This window comes from Homo sapiens, chromosome 7 (genome assembly GCF_000001405.40).
Source record: "Homo sapiens chromosome 7, GRCh38.p14 Primary Assembly".
Taxonomy (NCBI): Eukaryota; Metazoa; Chordata; class Mammalia; order Primates; family Hominidae; genus Homo; species Homo sapiens.
Genome location: NC_000007.14, coordinates 154,903,544 through 154,921,860, shown reverse-complemented (window position 1 = coordinate 154,921,860; position 18,317 = coordinate 154,903,544). Strand labels below are relative to the sequence as shown.

The 18,317-nt window shown below is 53.9% G+C and overlaps 1 annotated feature.

Moving 5' to 3' along the window:
- Window positions 7,774-7,863: an enhancer, noted in NCBI's record as "active region_26886". NCBI's record gives its function as "activates an Ori minimal core promoter by ATAC-STARR-seq in GM12878 lymphoblastoid cells {active_cell/tissue: GM12878}" and the evidence as "EXISTENCE:reporter gene assay evidence [ECO:0000049][PMID:35858748]".

Below are 18,317 nucleotides of genomic sequence, written 5' to 3'. Positions count from 1 at the left end.
TACCATGGTGGGCTTTTCTTTTCCAAAGGCAAGACTGGACAGAATGTCAAAAATTTATCAAAACTATCGGATGGGACACAAAATCAGTCTGGTGTCCTTCACACTAGTCTGACTAAGGATAAGGTACACCATTGACCTATTGATGATGCTTTACAGAATGAGGAACATGAGAAGAGCTTCTTGGTAGAAGAAACCAGTTTATTGGCTTTTCCTCAGGCCCCACCCCAAATGAAAGGGAAAACAATGATACCTAATTGACAGCACGATTTCAGCACGGTATATTACAAATTTGGGGTGGGTTTACTTAGCTCACCTCCTCTTTTTTTTTTTCTTCAGATGGAGCCTTGCTCTGTCATCCAGGTTTTTGTGCAGTGGTGCGATCTCGGCTCACTGCAACCTCCACCTCCCAGGTTCAAGCAATTCTCCTGCCTCAGCCTCCTGAGTAGCTGGGACTACAGGCACGTGCCACCACGCCCAGCTCTTTTTTTTTATATATTTTTTTTAGTAGAGACGGGCATTCACCATGCTGGCCAGGCTGGTCTCAAACCCCTGACCTTAGATGATCCACCCACCTTGGCCTCCCAAAGTACTGGGGTTACAGGTGTAAGCCACCTCACCTGGGCTCATCTCCTCTTATGGCCAGCTTAGGCAGCATCCCCCTTTGTGTTAGGAACAAAAAAAATCACACCAAAGATAATGGCCCAACTGCGCTAGAGATATGGGGTAGACATAAAAAATGAGGTATGCCCGCACCCTTGTCTTACGAAGAACTGATTGGTCTGCCACCGATTAAACACAAGGACAGGTATTTATTGGTTATAGACCCAAATGGAACATCTTGGCTATGTGGCACTAACATATGGCCATTGTTTCCCCCAGGACGGTAAGGATGATGTTGCCCTGGTTATGCTTGGGCACAAGGCTGTGTCGTTCATACCCTGTCAAAACCAGTAAAATTTCCTCATTTACAATCTTGTTGGGTGTGTTCTGTGTTCCATTGGTGTGGTCATTTGGCTTCTGTCGTCCTACCACAGCTGGGTGTTGAAGTTGTCATTTGGCACATAAAGGCCCTAACAAGTTGTGCACGAAAGACCCTAAGTGACAGCTGCATGGGTATTTTGTTATTAAATCATGAAGTGGCTGTCATGAGAAAGGCTGTATTACAGAGCCATGTGGCCTGAGACATACTCAGCGTGGCCCGAGGAGAAGTGTGTCCTGTCATGAAAACTGAATGTCGTGCCTTCATCTCATTCATGTCAGATGAATCAAATAACCCTCACAAATTCATAACTCATATAACCCAAATAACCAGACTTTCCGATCGAAAACCCTCCTTCTGGGATTGGCTAAGTAGTTGTTTTGGCTCTTGGTGAACTTGCTGGCAAAAGCGACTGCTCATCCTGGGAATCAGCGTCATGGTGGGTTTCGTCCTGTCCTCGTCCACAGAAGTACTACGGTGTTCGTCTGCAACTGAGTCAACATGCAGCTGAGAAAACTAGAACCATGATTGTTCAGACAATTGCTGTGATTGAAGAGGCAGCTGTGCAGCCTGACCCAGGCTCCAGGACTACTCTCCCTTTGTTCCTTTGACATTTCACCTTGGTCCCTTCCAGTCCCCCTTCCTGGGGAGGTGACTTCCGAGGAATGAGCCCTCCTGGCAATGTGGGATTTGATAAAATACAGGGCCTGAGCACGATTCCTCTGCAATACTAATACGGTTTGGACGTTTGTCCCCTGCAAATCTCAAGTTGAGATTTGATCCCTAATGCTGGAGGTGGGGCCTTCTGGAAGGTGGTTGAGTCATGGGGGTGGAGTCCTCAGGAATGGTTTGGTGTCCTCTAGGTAATGAGTGAGTTCTTGCTCTATAGGTTCCCTCAAGAGTTCCCCAGAGAACTGGTTTTTCAAAAGAACCTGGCACCTCCTCCTCCCTCTCTTGCCTCCTCTCTTGCCACATGATGTGCCAGCTCCCCTTCCCTGTCTGCCACGAGGAGAAATTTCCTGAGGCCCTCAGGAAGCAGACATTGGCACTATGCTTACTGTACAGTCTGCAGAACCGTGAGCCACATAAACCTCTTCTCTTTATTAATTACCCAGCCTCAAGTATTCCTTTATAGTAATACAAATAGACTAAAACAAATGCTTTCTCTGAATAATTTTCAAGGAAAGGGAGAAATGTGAAAATAAAATAAGTTTCAGGAGCTTCTAAATGTATTTTGCCAAGGGGTAAAGTTAACGCCCTGGAAACCAAGTCATGTAACAGCTGTGTTTCTTCTCTGGGGCACAACTGTAGCTGTCTGACCTTGGTGTGTTGAGATGTGACACATTAGCCAGGCTCCTGTTCTTTGCCAGGCAAAATGCCTGGCATCGGGAAGTGGTCAACTCGTAGGTTGGTAAGAATTTACCAACAACAGCATAGGTTTGAAAAAGGAAAAACTTTTTTTCTTTTTGAGACGGAGTCTTGCTCTGTCACCCAGGCTGGAGTGTAGTGGCGTGATCTCTGCTCACTGCATCCACTGCCTCCCGGGTTCAAGTGATTCTCCTGCCTCAGCCTGAGTAGCTGGGATTACAGGCATGCGCCACCACGCCTGGCTAATTTTTGCATTTTGCGTAGAGGCGGGGTTTCACCATGTTGGCCAGGCTGGTCTTGATCTCCTGACCTCGTGATCCACCCGCCTCAGCCTCCCAAAATGCTGGGATTACAGGCATGAGCCACCGCACCCGGCCAAAGGAAAGTTTTGTTAGAAAGAAAGAACGCGGCTGGAGAGCGCAGTGGGTGCCTCAGCTAGAGAGGACTGAGCACACTGCGGTGGATTTTTCCTTAGGGGTATTTATGGACCTTCAAGCAGGAGCTGAAGGGTGATTTGCACGATAAAGTATTACATTTGTAGACATTTTGGTGTCTCAGTGTCAGCAAGGGTTGCACCATAAGTTTTGGCATGCATGCATTCCAGAGATGTATAGAAATTCTAGTTACTCACACGTTTTGAGGAGAGGCCTGGAACCAGGTGCCTTTAGGTAATAGGGAAGTCTAATTACTTCTAAATTCCTCAGATAAGGAACTTTTGTCCCTGGGGTCTGCATGATGCTCACCAGGTGATTTTTGCCCTCCTCATTCTTCATTCACACCTAGATTAAATGATGTTGGGAGAGAGCCTTGTGATTGTTACCTCTTCACAATGGAATGTTAAGCAATCCTGGAGAGTGTAAGCAATAGTAGCCAACTAAATCTTATATCTTTGTGTCAGCCTTTCCATGGAAAATGTAATTCACCTGTGTTTTCCCTGTATAAACGATCTTTACCTTTCCCGACTCCAGGAGCACTGGTGAACATTATTCAGTGTTCGTGTGTCCCGGACAGCTGCCCTCACACTTTACACCTGAGTAAGCTCTTTTAACTGGATCCCAAGCCTTTTGATGATCTTAGGTTGACCATTAACAGCCCCAGTTAGAGTCCTTGAGGGTGTCAACTGAGAAAAGTGACGAGACAAGTCTCAATCATTTCAGGAGGTTTATTTGCCAAAGTTAAGGATGTGTGCGTGGGAGACAGGACTATGCCTTTCTCCAAAGATGATTTTGAGGGCTCCAAATTCAAAAGGGAAATCGATGAGAGTCCTTTTCCAGCCATACACATATGAAGGGCTTGCCCTCTTCCATTGGGCACGGTGGCCTGAACACCAGGATATTTTTGGGATATATATAGCTAGGTAGGGAACACACACTCCAAAACTCAATTCCCTAAAACAAGGACCATTTCACTGTGCTCAGGATCCTGTGGGAGGGGCACAGCAGGGGCTGCCTGAGCCTGTTCCACAACTCTCCCGCCCCAGCGGAGCGTGGCTTCCCTGGCTGGAGGTGACTGAGATGGCCCCACAGGGTCCCATGACCTCTCCAGGCCATCCCTGTCTCCTGGGCTGGAAGATGTGAGCTAGCCCTTCCCCATGTCGGCTGGGGCTGCACTGACGGAAAGGGCTGGGGGCTGACCAGCGTTGCTCTGCCCACTTCTCTCTTCAGCGTGGGCTGGACTGTGCATTCCCAGACACCAAGGTGGGTACTTCAAGCCTTCTGATCACTGAGTCTCTGAAGTGACATGTGTCGCCACCATGGTGCTACTGGTGACACAAGGACAGGCAGCTCAGTGTTGGGGGAGCGTCCCACGCATGACACTGAAGGTGTGGTCTCTTGGGGAGCCATCTGGAGACCAGTTACTAGTCATCTGGAGATTGGTTACTAGTCATCGGGAAACTGGTTATTAGCCATCTGGAGACTGGTTACTAGTCATCTGGAAATTGGTTACTAGCCATTTGGAGACCAGGGTACTAGTCATTTGGAGACTGGTTACTCGTCATCTGGCAGTGGGTTACTAGTTTGGAGACTGATTAATTACTAGTCATCTGAAGATTAGTTAATAGTCATCTGGAGACTGGCTACTAGCCGTCTGGAGACTGGTTACAAGTCATTCGGAGACTGGTTACTAGCCATCTGGAGACTGGTTAGTTATCAGTCATCTGGAGACTGGTTAGTAGTCATCTGGAGATTGGCTACTAGTCATGATCTGGTTACTGATCATCTGAAGATTGGTTACTAGCCATCTGGCAATTGGTTACAATCAGTTACTAGTCATCTGGAGACTGGTTACTAGTCATCTGAAGATTGGTTACTAGGCTTGTGGAGACTGGTTAGTGCACAGAAGCACTATCCAGAGGTTGAACCTCAGAAACACCAATTCACCATCAGACACAGAGGCCAGTCCAAGTGCGCTTCTCGTCCGATGCATGCACCTGGTTCCCGTTCCAGCCGTCACACCCCATTAGCCAAGGAGAGGAATGAGAGTAATAATAATTAAATAGTAATGATGGGAAACAGTGCACAGTTAGGACAGGTGCTTGCACTGTGCTTGCCCATGCCCGATCCTGAGCTAAGTCCTGTGCATATACACACCCACTTTATCCTCAGAATGCCAACAGAAGACAGGTGCTGTCACTTCCTCCCTTCCACAGCAGAGGAGGGCAGAGCACAGAGGTTTCAGTAGCATGACCAGGGTCTACCCCAGGCACAGGCTCCAACATCGCGCCCTTAGCCACTGTGAGTTATGGCAGGTGGTGCTGGGTCTCCTTTTACTTGGGCCTGTGGACAGAGCAGGGGGCTCAGGTGACACTTCCCACCCACCGGCCTTCTCTCTCTGCCGGCGACATGCAGGGCCCCGAGCCGGGACTCTCCTGGGGCGCCCAGGACAGCTTTCCTCTTACGTAGGCGTCCCCTGTTCTTGCTGGGCATTCCCCGCCTGCCCCTGCCTGCCCCCCACTCGGCCCATCTGTTCCCAGGCCCTGATCCCAGCCTCCAAGCCAGTCTTGCCAGCACACACGGACAGGAAATGATGGCACTTTTAAAGATGCAACGCTTTTGTTTTGGAGTCACCTATTGAGCCAAGACACGGGGACCTGGGCAACACGTGGTTTTGTGGATTGGTGCTGGGAAGGGGTGGCCTGGGAAAGCTAAGGATGGAGGAGAGGAAAAGGGAAGCTGCAGGCTGCTGTGAGGGGTACCCCTGGTCAAATGGCACTTTGGGGATGAGGAGACTTGGGATCCACTTGTAACCCCAGCCGCACACTGCGGGGGATCTCTGGGGACACTTCTGTCACTTGTATTTTATTGCACTAAGAGCCTAGAAGTTTGATCTAAGAATGGCAGAGTCAGCAGCCGGCACTGTGGAGCCCTGATTTGTGGTAAAAATACTGAAATATGGAAATCCTCCCACACGAGTTTGTAGTAGCGCTGCATGAGCCCCTCTCTTGGGTGTCCCCGCCCACTAATATCACCTCATCATCCGGCACCAGGGGAGCCAAATACCTGACATGGGGGAGCTTGGAGGGGGCTGTTCCAGCCCAATGTGGGCAGCCCCAGCGGGTTGTGCCCCGAAGCTGTTAGTGCTCTGAACATCACCTCTACTCTGAGGTAGGGTACTGTCGGGTGTGCTGGGCTGCAGGTGTCCTGGGCTGAGGGCATATGGTGTCAGGTGTGCTAGGCTGAGGTTGTGTGGGAGTCAGGTGTCCTGAGCTGCAGGTGTCCTGGGCTGAGGTTGCAGGAGTGTCAGGTGTGCTGGGCTAGGTTGTGGACATCAGGTGTCCTGGGCTAGGTTGTGTGGGTGTCAGGTGTGCTGGGCTGCAGGTGTCCTGGGCTGAGGTTGTGCAGTGTCAGGCATCCTGGCACCGCCTCTCCACCCAGGGCTGGGCCTGCTTCTGGAACCCCCTTGGGTTCTCTGGGGCTTTGGTGCTCACCACCCTGGTCTAGAAATGGAATGCCGGCACGGGTTTCAGAACAAGGGCTCTGAAGCCACATGACCCTAGGTTTGAATGGTAAATGTACTTTTAATGTGATCTTGAGAATTTTTCTTCAACCTCTGTAGCTCTGTTTTCTTACCTCTAATAGGCCTATGGCAAGGATTAGATGAAATTAGCACAAAGCGGGATCTTCCAAATCCTCCTCCTGGTCTTAAGGTACCTAGGGACTGGTTAAAAGTAGGTTCTTGGACACCCCTAAGACCTGCTAAGTCAGACCCCCGGGTGTGGGGGGCAGTGCAGCCAGCCAGGCCCGGGAAGCCCGGGCCGCGTGTCTCCCCAGCGTTCTCCAGCTCTCAGCAGCACCCGCACTGCAGCTGGGCTCCCTGCGCCTGGAGCCCCGGGTGCTACCCCCGACCACCACCGTGTGGTGCTGGCGCTGGGTGACTCACACTCTGCCAGCTGTGCCCCAAGCAAAGCCTCCGCGATGGTTGCGGGCTGAATCAATTGTGTCCTCCAGATTCATAAGCTGCCGGTCGAACTCCCAGGACCTCAGAATGTGGCTTTATGTGGAGCTGGGGTCTCTACGGCGGCCAGTAAGGTATAATGAGGTCATGTGGGTGGGCCCTGATCCAGCAGGACTGGTGTCCTTCCAAGAAGAGAAGATGAGGATACAGCCGTGCACGCGGGGACAGTCAGGTGAGGGCACGGGGAGAAGACGGCAGCTCAGCTGAGGAGAGAGGCCCCAGGCAGAAGCAGCCCTGCCCACACCCAGATCTCGGGCTGTGGCCGCCAGGACTGGGAAACGCAGACGCCCGCTGCTGAGCCCACTGGCCCGCGGTGCTGTGTTGCTGCTGCCGAGCTGACGAGGATGTGAGATCCTCCCTGGCTTTGCCTGCGGCCGCCCGCGAAGCCCATTTACCCGCCTCGTCTTGCTGGTCCCCAGGCCCCCCGGGGGGACGGGTTCCCCTTTGGCTTCTTGCAGTGGCTGCAGCCCTGGAAGCTGCTGGGAGGAGACGGCTGGGGCTGGGCAGGGCTCGGAGCTGACTTCGTGTCACCTGAGCGAGCTGCACAAAAGTCACAAATGCCACCCTTTCTACGTGTGCTGATGGGTCACTCCGCAATTCCTAGGCATTGATTTTGTGTCTGGGAAGGTCACCGTGGCCCACACGGACAAAAGCTGCTGCTCTCCTGGGTCCCGCTGGAACCAAAGGCCCCAGAGAACCCGTGGGGCTTCCAGAGGCAGGCCCGGCCCCGGCTGGAGGGGCGATGAGCAGGGCACCCGATGCCTGCGCCGTGGTGGGAATGCGGGGAGCACGGCCCCCGGAGGGTCCGCCATCCCCCGCGGCGCACCGGAGCCTGACCCCGGCTCTCCCTACACCTGCAGCCTGCACGCGACTCTCTCCGAGCTGATTTCTGCGGCTCCCGCTGCCCTCGGCTGGCTCACTAGTTCCTTCGAAGCCTGTGCGCTTCGGACCCCGCTCCATCTCTCCTCTAAAGAGGAAGCCAAGAGTGGGTCCGCAGTCCCTCTCGGCGCCACGTTAGCCCGGGAAGTGTTTTCACCTCCCGGGGCTCCTCATGGTACCTTTGCAACTCGCAGTCCCAGAGCGTGCAATCTTCCTCCAGGTACCAGGGCCCGGCCCAGCCGGGAGGCCTCAGAGACCTGCCAGAGCTGGGCCTTTGCTGCCATCTGCTGGCGGCTCTCAGATGACAGGTTGAAGGCCTGAGGAGTGGCCTCCCAGGGCCAGTCCAGTTCAAGTTCAGCAGGGGGCAAGGCCTGAACTCTGCACTCCTGAGCAGCTCCGGGGGAGGCCCAGGTGCTGGCCACGCGGCAGTTCCGCTGCGCTCTGTTCTCAGACGCGGAGGCCGATCTAAGAGTTTCCGCTGCTTGGGAACCTGTGGCCACATCGCCTGGTCTGGGTTTCACAGGTTTGGGGTCTTGGGGACCCTCTGGCCAACCATCTCATTTCCCATTGGCTGAAGCCCAAGAGGTTCCAGCGACCTGTCCAGGGTCACAGAGCTGGTTCTTGAATAATTGGGAAGAGATACACCCCTTCCACTGCCCAGAAATGTTTTCCAAAGACTGTTCAAGAAACGTGAGTTGGCGGACAGAGAGCAATGCCGGGTGGGGAGAGGCCGCTGCAGGGCTGAGAGAAGGGGCCACATGAGCGGGGAGGAGAGTCTCAGGGATGAACGGGGCTCAGAGCCCACCCAAGGACGCCAGCTGCCCCTGTCTCCGTCCTGCTGCACAGAGGTCGTTTTCGCAGCTGTAGAAATTGGTCACATTTCTGTTTGTGCCAAAAACCAATTTGTACCAGTCGACAAATTGAAAAGCATGTGCTTTCAATTGTCCTTGGCACTTGAAAAAACTAACTTTCCCGTGATTCAGACCCACTTCCCTGCTGATTTTATATTTCCGATGTCGAGTTCACGTCAGCTGTTCCTAAATAGGAGGGAAGCTGTACAAAAACGTCTCTGCTGTCAAAGACAACACGGTCGTATTGGAGACACAATTTTGGAAGGATTTTTCTTGGCAAACCCACTTTCCTCCAGCTTGGGGATTTAACATTTTTTTTCTTCTACCATCTGCTCCCTTGAGGCTTGGAAAGGCCTCAGCTCAAAAGCTCAGACCCGAGGGTGCTGATGAACCGCACCTGGCCTACGGAGGGGGATGCCAGCACTTCTCAGTGTCAGCTTCACTCTTTATGGTCATTGCTCCACGTTCTTTTTTTTTTTTTTTTTTTTTGAGATGGAGTTTTGCTCTGTCGCCCAGGCTAGAGTGCAATGGCACGATCTCGGCTCACTGCAACCTCCGCCTCCCAGGTTCAAGCAATTCTCCCACTTCTGCCTCCCGAGTAACTGGGATTACAGGCACCTGCAACCACGCCCAGCTAATTTTTTATATTTTTAGTAGAGATGGGGTGTCATCATGTTGGCCAGGCTGGTCTCAAACTCTTGACCTCAGTTGATCCATCTGCCTCAGCCTCCCAAAGTGCTGGGATTACAGGTGTGAGCACCGTGCCCAGCCTGCTCCACATTCTTGTAGTGTGCAAGGTGGAGTCGTTAGCCAGAGATCTATACTCAGGAAACGGGTGAGTGACTGGTTGCTGGTGAATCTAGCAACTTGATGTCACATGGCAGGTCATTTATCTGTGGTCATCGTGCTCTGGTGGACAGCTGGTTAGGGACAATACAGGGTAGAACAGAGAGGCAGCCCACCGTCCACTCCTTTCTGTGTGAGACTCACAGAAAGACACTGTTTCTGGGGTAACAAGATTTCAGTCTAGTTGGGGAAATGGAAACCACTCCAAGAGCAATTAGCAAGAAAAACAAATGTCATTACATGCTGAACATGAAGTGCTGAGCTGATGACACTGGAAGACATGGCCCGATGACAAGAACAAAACTTGACCCTGTGTTGCAGACAAAAGGTGCGGGGACCTGAAGCCTGTCTCTCTGGCCCTGCCCAGGCTGTCGGGAACAATCAGATTAACATCAGCTGCTGCTCAGATTCCATTATCTGATATCAAGCCGCTGTCCTGCTGGTCATTGAGCTGCAGTTAGCAATTTTCTAAAATTTAAAGTAAAGACCTTTGGTTGCCTATGTGACCCCTGGGCTGGGGTTTGAGGGAGAACTGGAGCCTCAAGGATGTGCTCAGGCCCACAGGGCCCTGCAGAAGGATCTCAGTTCTACAGCTCCTGAGGGCAGCTTTCTGGGCCAGGCCAAGGGAATCCATGGGGCCAATGAGGCTGTCCAGACAGGCGGTCTCCTGTGTGTTAGGGGAGGCAGGTGACTAGCATCTGGGATTGTATTAGTTACCTACTGCTGTGTAACATACAACCCCAATACTTAGAAGCTTAACACCACACTGATTATCTCCCAGTGTCTGAGGGCCAGGAATCTGGCTGAGGCTTGATTGCGTGGCTCTGGCCCAGGCTCTCTTGGGAGTTTGCAGTCAGGCTCTCAGCAGGGACTGCAGCCATCTCAGGGCTCTGCAAGACAGGCTGCTCAGGGGCCTCTGCTTGAGTGGCAGCTGGGTTTCCCCAGAGTTAGTGATGAGACAGAGAGAGACATTCAGGCAGACATAGACACACAGAGAGAGGAGAGACAGAGACTGGGAGAAAGAAAAGGAAAGGAGAGATGGAGAGAAAGAGAGGAGAGCGGGGAAAGACCAAGCACCAGCCTTAGAAGCCACAGTCTCTTATTACCTCCTCTTAGCTCAGCATTGACATGCGGTCACTGCTGGTCACACCAACCAGCCCTTGTGCATTGTGGAAGGGGCCTCCACAAGGGTGAGCACCAGGAGGGGGATCTCAGGGCACCAGCTTGGAGGCTGGACACCACAGGGATCTTGGGCCAAACTACAGGATAGGGCTGAAGTTCAGGACTGACTGTTACAAGGCCACCAGGTCATAGCCCCCCGTGCAGTCGCAAGCCAATGCACCAAGACAGCAGGGTTTGCAGCAGAGAAAGAGTTTAGTGGCGGCAGGGCTCCAGGTGAGGAGATGGGAGGAGACCCTCAAATCCATCTCCCTGGGGAGTTCTGGGCTGGGGTTGTTAAGGAGGGTGAGGTACTGGAAAACTGGGATGGTTGATTGGTCAGGGTGAGGAGGGTGAAGTCATCAGGAGGTGGAAACTGCATTCTCTGGTGGGGACTCAGCTTTTTATGGAGTCCTTCAGACCAGCTGGCATCAGTAGTTGCACTGGTACACAGGAATTGAAAGGATATCTCAGAGAAATGTAAACAAAACTTAACATTTCATAATGTTCAACTTGTCTATAGAGCAGTTCAAGGCATCTGTAATCTGTGCCAGGCTTTATGTGATTCTGGGGTGAGAGGCAGCAAACGGCAATGAGGAAGGGGTTGCAGAGCAGGCTGACCCAGTGATTCATGCTGAGTGTGCTGCAGCTTGGTCTATTTTCCTTTCTCTTCCTCCCCTCAGCCCTGATGAATTTTATAAAGTTCACAGGGACAGTTCCTGACTGGGTGGCTAATCCAGGGTCTAGCAGTCCGAGCTCTGCAGTGGGGCCTGGGCCAAAAGGAATGTGGGTGTGGGGATGCTGATGCCAGCATGAGCTCCTCCTGGGCTGCAGGGATGGTGCACAGGCTGGAGATGGAGTCTGGCCTGTGTTGAGAAGGGGCAGAGACATTCTCTGACCACACTGCTAGACCTGGGTCCTGCTGTCTGCCTGTTGTGGGTGCCAAGCACTCGTCCATCTGGGCAAGTCCACAGGGACAGGGGTGGTTCTGTGCTGGCCCCTTGAGACAACAGGCAACAGTGGTGGGTGTGCACAGAGCCAGGAGACGTTGTGGCCCTGTGGCCTCTGAGGGGCACCCGCCCAGCAGGATGGATGGACAGATAGAGCCTCTCCCTGTGCCTCCGCCCCACTCTGGCCACACAGGGCTCTCTGGCATTCTGGGGTTGTGCTGGGGAGGCACTCCCTTTGGGCCATGAACTTGGGGTTCCTCTGCCTGGAGCCCCCTTCGCAGGCATCTGCACCACGCATTCCCCCACTCCCCAGGGCTTTGTGTAGACTCCAGTTTCTAAGCAGGGCTCCCATGCCACCTCCATGAGAACGATGCCTCCACCCCAGCCCAGCCCCTCCTCATGCTCTGCTCTCCCTCTGTGCGAGGCGCCCTCTCGGGCAATAGATTTCTCATATGTATTGTCGTTCTGTCCCCACTGGAATCCAGCTGTGCAGGGGCCCGGCTTCTGTGTGCTGGGTGCTGCCATACTGTGCTCAGTGCCCAGGGCTGGGCCGGGCACAGATGCTGGGGTGTGAACTGGTAGCGGCCTGGGAGGAGTCATGCAGGGTGGGCATGAAGAGGAGAGTTTGCCAACCAGGAATGAGACCTTCCCCAGCCTCCAGGGTGTGCCCCTCCCTCTCTCCTCCGTCCTCCCTGCTGTGGAAGGCTGTCTGGGAGGGCAGGTGACCCTGTCGCCTGTTTGCTTCACATCCGTCCTACTTCGTGTGGCAGATCTCCCTGCAGGAGTGGAAAGGGTGGCAGTGCTGTCTCTCAGGGCCGGGGAAAAGCATAGGAACCCGAACCGGTAGAGTGGGAAATGGCGTTCGCCACTCTCTCGCCCAAGCCTTCGTGTTGCTAAGGGGAAGAACAGGGTGGGAGGCCGAGGTGGTTGCTGAAGTCACAAAGAGAGTGAGTGGGGGAAGGCGGACCCCCAACCCAGTCCCCTCCTCTGCCAGAGATCAGGGGTGTGAAGAGGGTCCAGATGGGGAAAGCGTGCGGAAGAGTGGGATCAGGTGTGCCTTGTGGGCACTGTCGGTGGGAATGTGGGCCAGGGCAGCCACCATGGGGAATGCTGTGGAGTTTCCTCAAACATCTAAAAATAGAACTACCTGCCACCCAGCCATCCCAGTTCTGGGTATTGACCCAAAAAATTGAAGTCAGTATTTTGAAGAGGTGTCTGCACCCCAAGTTCATTGCAGCACTATTCACAATAGCCAAGTAGTGGAAGCAACCTCCATGTCCATCAACAAATGAATGAATAGAGTCCAGGCCATCACCACACCATGGAGTACTATTCAGCCATGAAAAAGAGGAAACCCTATCATTAGTGACAGCAGGGATGAACCCAGAGGACATTATGTTATGTGAAGTAAGGAGAAAGGCAGACACTGCATGGTCTCCCATCTACAAGGAATCTGAAACAGTCACGCTCATAGAAGCAGAGAGGAGGGTTGGGGTCTCCAGGACTGGAGGAGGGGAAGCGGGGGTAGAATACACGTTATGCACGATGAGTAGGTTCCAGAGATCTGCTGTTCAACACGGTGCCTCTACTTAACAATAATCATGAGAAAAGATCGGCTGCACTCAGGAGCACCTGCTTCAGGGTCTGATGGGCAGTCATGAAGCTGGTGCCGGGAATCGAGAGAACTGCTGTTCAACACGGTGCCTCTACTTAACAATGATCATGAGAAAAGATCGGCTACACTCAGGGGAACCTGCTTTGGGGTCTGATGGGCAGCCATGAAGCTGGTTCCGGGAGTAGGACCTGAGCTGCAGGGGAGGCACTGGTGCAGCTGTGGAAGCTTTCTTCTATCACTCTTTACAATAAATCTTGCTGCTGCTCACCCTTTGGGTCCACGCTGCCTTTATGAGCTGTAACACCACGAAGGTCTGCAGCTTCACTCCTGAAACCAGCGAGACCATGAACCCACCGGAAGGAACTAACAACTCCGGATGCACCGCCTTTAAGAGCTGTAACACTCACTGCGAAGGTCTGCAGCTTCACTCCTGAAGTCAGCAAGACCACGAACCCACCAGAAGGAAAAAACTCCGGACACAACATCAGAAGGAACAAACTCTGGACACACCATCTTTAAGAACTGTAACACTCACCGCGAGGCTCCACGGCTTTTCTTGAAGCCAGCAAGACCAAGAACCCACCAATTCCAGACACAGCCAGACTGATCTCAAACTCCTGACCTCAGGCAATCCGCCTGCCTCGGTCTCCCAAAGTGCTGGGATTACAGGTGTGAGGCACCGCACCCAGCTTGTTGTTTACACCCCAGTGTAAAACAAAACTAAAGCACCCATGTGACACTGTTAATTAGGTTTCTGAGGAAGTGCCCTGTAAACTGTGGATGTCTTCCCCAGGTCCTGGAGGCCTGAGAGAGCAGGCTGAGGAGTGCAGCCCAGGAGGTGGGAGCAGGGAGGGCTCAGCAGGAGCTGGGAGGATGCGACGCCCTGCAGAAGCCGTTACATCAGAAGCAGCCCCTTGAGGCTGCTGGGGAGGAGTTGGCAAGACCTGGAGCCAGGACTGTGGTGGGACTGGAGAGACACCAGTGTGCCTGAGGCCAGGAAGGAGGGGAAGACGTCTCATCCCTGACTCTGCAGGACAGGAGCTCCAGCCACTGCAGGCTCCACACCGCAGCCCTGCTCCTCCCTCCATGGGGGGAGCTCATGGGGCTCCACGTGCTCCCACCTCATGGGGACCCAAGGAGATGACCGCTGCTGGCTGGGGCAGCCTGCTTTTATTCCCTAATCTGACCCCACCCTCATCCTGCTGATTGGTCCATTTTACATTGAGCTGATTGGTCTGTTTTTACAGGGTGCTGATTGGTGCATTTACAGACCTTGAGCTAGACACAGAGTGCTGATTGGTGCATTTACAATCCTTGAACTAGACAGAGTGCTGATTGCTGCATTTACAATCCTCCAGCTAGACATAAAAGTTCTCCAAGTCCCCACTGAACTCAGAAGCCCAGCTGGCTTCGCCTAGTGGATCCCGTGCTGGGGCCGCGGGTGGAGCTGCCCGCCAGTCCCACGCAGGGCGCCCACACCTCTCAGCCCTTGGGCAGTCGATGGGACCGGGCCCGCAGAGCAGGGGGTGGTGCCGGTAGGGGAGGCTCCACCCACAGGGGTGGAGGCGGGGAGGCTCGGGCATGACGGGCTGCAGGTCCCCAGCCCTGCCCCGAGGGGAGGCAGCTAAGGCCCAGCAAGAATTTGAGCGCAGTGCGGGCGGGCCGGTAGTGCTGGGGGATCCGGCGCACCCTCTGCTGCTGCTGCTGGCCCGGGTGCTAAGCCCCTCACTGCCCAGCCAGCGGCACCAGCTGGTTGCTCTGAGTGGAGGGCCCACCCAGAACTCGCGCTGGCCCATGAGTGCTGCTTGCAGCCCAGGTTCCCGCCCGCGCTCTCCCTCCACACCTCCCCGCAAGCAGAGGGAGCCGGCTCCGGCCCGGCCAGCCCAGAGAGGGGCTCCTTCAGTGCAGCCGGGGGCTGACGGGCTCCTCAAGTGCGCCAGAGTGGACGCCGAGGCCGAGGAGGCCGAGGAGGTGCCGAGAGCTAGCAAGGGCTGCTAGCACGTTGTTACCTCTCATGACCAACATGGTGAAACCCCATCTCTAGCACAAAAAACAAAAATATTAGCCGGGCTTGGTGGCGTTTGCGTGTAATCCCAGCTCCTCGGGAGGCTGAGGCAGGGGAATTGCTTGAACCAGGGAGGTGGAGGTTGCAGTAAGCCGAGATCACACCACTGCACTCCAGCCTGGGTGACAGAGAGAGACTCCATCTCAAAAAAAAAAAAAAAAAAAAGCCCAGGTATGGCAGGCATGAGAGGCTGACCCTGCAGACCAGGCCGTAGCACTGCTGACAATCGGGAAGGGCAGAGCCCCGGAGAGTCCAGGAGGCCTTTCCTAGGAGGACCAAAGACACAGCAAGGCCCTGTCCCAAGTCCACTCACGGGGCCACCTACCCCATAGCCGCAAGCTGCCTCAGAGACACAGGCCCTCCCGCCCCAGCTGCTCCTTCCTCCTCCCACCCAGGAGGCCCTGCTGTTGTGCTGGAATGGTGGTATTCCTCAAAACATCTGCTGAGCCCTAACCCATGGCACCGCCAAATGGAACCTTCCTTGAAGACAGGGTCTGACCAGAGGTGATCAAGTTGAAATGCGGTCAGCAGGGTGGGCGCTAACTCCATATGACTGCTGTCCTTATGAAAAGGGGGAATTGGGACACAGAGACAGACTCGCACAGAGGGAGAGTGCCACGGAGAGTGTGGAGAGACCCAGCCACAATCCAGGGAGCCCCCCGCCCCATCCCCTGGGGGAGAGCACAGTGTCGGAGGACAGGCCCTTCCCTAGCACTCTCAGAGGGAGCCTGGCCCTGCCCACACCTTGATCTCGGAGCTCAGTCTCCAGCAGCATAGGATAAAACCCCGTTATTGAAGTCTCGGGTTTGGGATGCTTTGTTACAGCAGGGGCATCCCTGCACCCTCCCTCCTGATCCCTGCTCCCACCTCCTTCGCCAAGTCTGTCTGCTCTGCTCAGTGCTGGGTGCTCGACCAGGCTTCCCCTCCTCTCTGGATGGCCAAGCCTAACCAAGGCCTGACCACCCACCCAGATGGGGAGGGAAGAGGAGGGGAGGCAACGGGGAGAGACAAGGAAGGATACAAGGCCGGAGGGAGGGAGAGATGGGGAAAAGACAAAAGAGGAGAGAGAAAGAGAGGGAGAAGGGGAGAAGAAAGATGGGGACAGAGACAGAGAGAATGGACAGAGAGAGAGGAGAGAAAGAGAGAGACGACTGGAGAGAGAGAGAGAGAAAGACTGGGGTGGTCAGGGTTGTGGGGCGGAGTGTCCAGGCCTGGGAGCTCAGCCCTAAACCTTGCTGTAATTGTTACTTTATAACAATGTAACTTTGAAGCAGTGGACTAGCTCCCTGTGCCTGGTGACTGAATAATTGAAGAAATGTTTGCAGGGCTGGCGTGGAGTGCTAGCAGCTGCGGCCTCCTCTGATATGTATGAAGCCTGATAAATTATGCCTGAGCCAGCAGCGTGGTGGTGTGAGACTCCTGACCCCAGAGTCTGGGGGCCTTGGATGCTCTCTTCATGGCGTTTAACTTCCACCGTGCTCCCCAGACAGCCTCTGCCGGTTACTGAATCAGTAGACCTCCTTGAGGCTGCGGTCTCTGAAAGTGCTCTAGAAGCAGGGGTGTGGAGCTCAGCTTCAGGGTGGGATTCCAGGAGCATGGAAATGCGGGGTGGTCCCGCCCAACATGGAGCTAGGACCCCCCACATCCTCTTGCAATTCATTCTGTCCACGTCTCTCCAGTTGCTCAGAACTGCCACGTGAGCCAGGCGCTGTTGATGGGGGACGGAGGGGTGAGGTATGGGGGAAATAAACCGTCTCGCTTACCCCGGGAACTTGTCATTTGGGTGGGAAAAAGTCAGTTTCGATTTGTGGAAGTGCCTGCCCAATGCCACAGAAGAAACCTGTCCAGGATGGAGGGTGTGGGTTTGTCAACTCCTGGTGCTGCATTCTTTGGCCCTCCTAGAGGCCCTGCCCCATAGACTAACCGGTGTTAGCCAGAGTTAGTGGTGCCTGATGGAGAGTGTCACACCTACTCACTGGAAATGGGCGGGAAGGGGTTTGGCCCTTTGCTTCCCAACTCCATTTTCAGTGATGGCAGCTTGGGTGTTTGACGTTGGCCATAGTGGAAACACTTACACCACGGAGATCGACAGACTCTATGGGTTGGGATTTTCTTTTCTTTTGTTTTTCTCTCCTTTTGTTTTCTATTAGGAAGGCTGATGCCAGCATACCACTGAGAGGGTCATCTAAGTCCAGCTCAAGGTCCTCAAAGCCCACAGTTGCTGCAGTCATAGAAGAGGATCTCAAGCAGTGGATTCATTCTGCCTCCTTCCGCCAAGCGAGTAAAAATCTCATTCACAGGACAATCATGCTGACTTTCAGACAATATTAAGATTTCCGTAAAAATGGTTATTTGGAAAAGCACACATCTGCTAATATATCTGAGACGTAAAACTCCAGCAGTCTTGGTGCAGTTGAAAACAGAATTTGGAGACATTCATGGGTCCTGCTTCTCTACTGGTCAATGAATTCATCATATTTATATACTTATGAGCTGGGCTTGGTGGCTCACGCCTGTAATCCCAGCACTTTGGGAGGCCGAGGCGGGAGGATCACTTGAGGTCAGGAGTTCGAGACCAGCCTGGCCAACATGGTGAAAGCCCGTCTCTATAAAAATATAAAAATTAGCCAGGTGTGGTGGCGCACATCTGTAGTTCCAGCTACTCGGGAGGCTGAGGCAGGAGGATCACTTGAACCCAGGAGGTGGAGGTCACAGTGAGCCAAGATTGCACCACTGCACTCCAGCCTGGGCAACAGAGCGAGACTCCGTCTCAAAAAAAAAAAAAAATTATGTTGATTATACCACTCTTCTCCACAGGGAATACTGGCAGTGAAATCCGATTGAACGAACTACAGTGGATAATCTTGCTCACTGACCTTGCCGGCCTCTGGGTGAGAGTGGGTCTCACCACCACTGACGACCTACGTTTCACCAGCTTTGCCCCCTGCCATCTCAGGCTAGGACGCTGGCCACCAAGGGCTCCTTGCCAAGTGTGCCTGGACTCAGGCTCCCACACAGCTGGAAATTGACTCCTTTGTGTGACTGGCTCAGGTCAAACAGCTGCTCCCGTGGTGTCTGCTGCTCACCCAGACACATGGGACCATCCTCCACCTCGGAGCCCTCCACAGCCCCCAGGTTCCAGCCGTGGTGA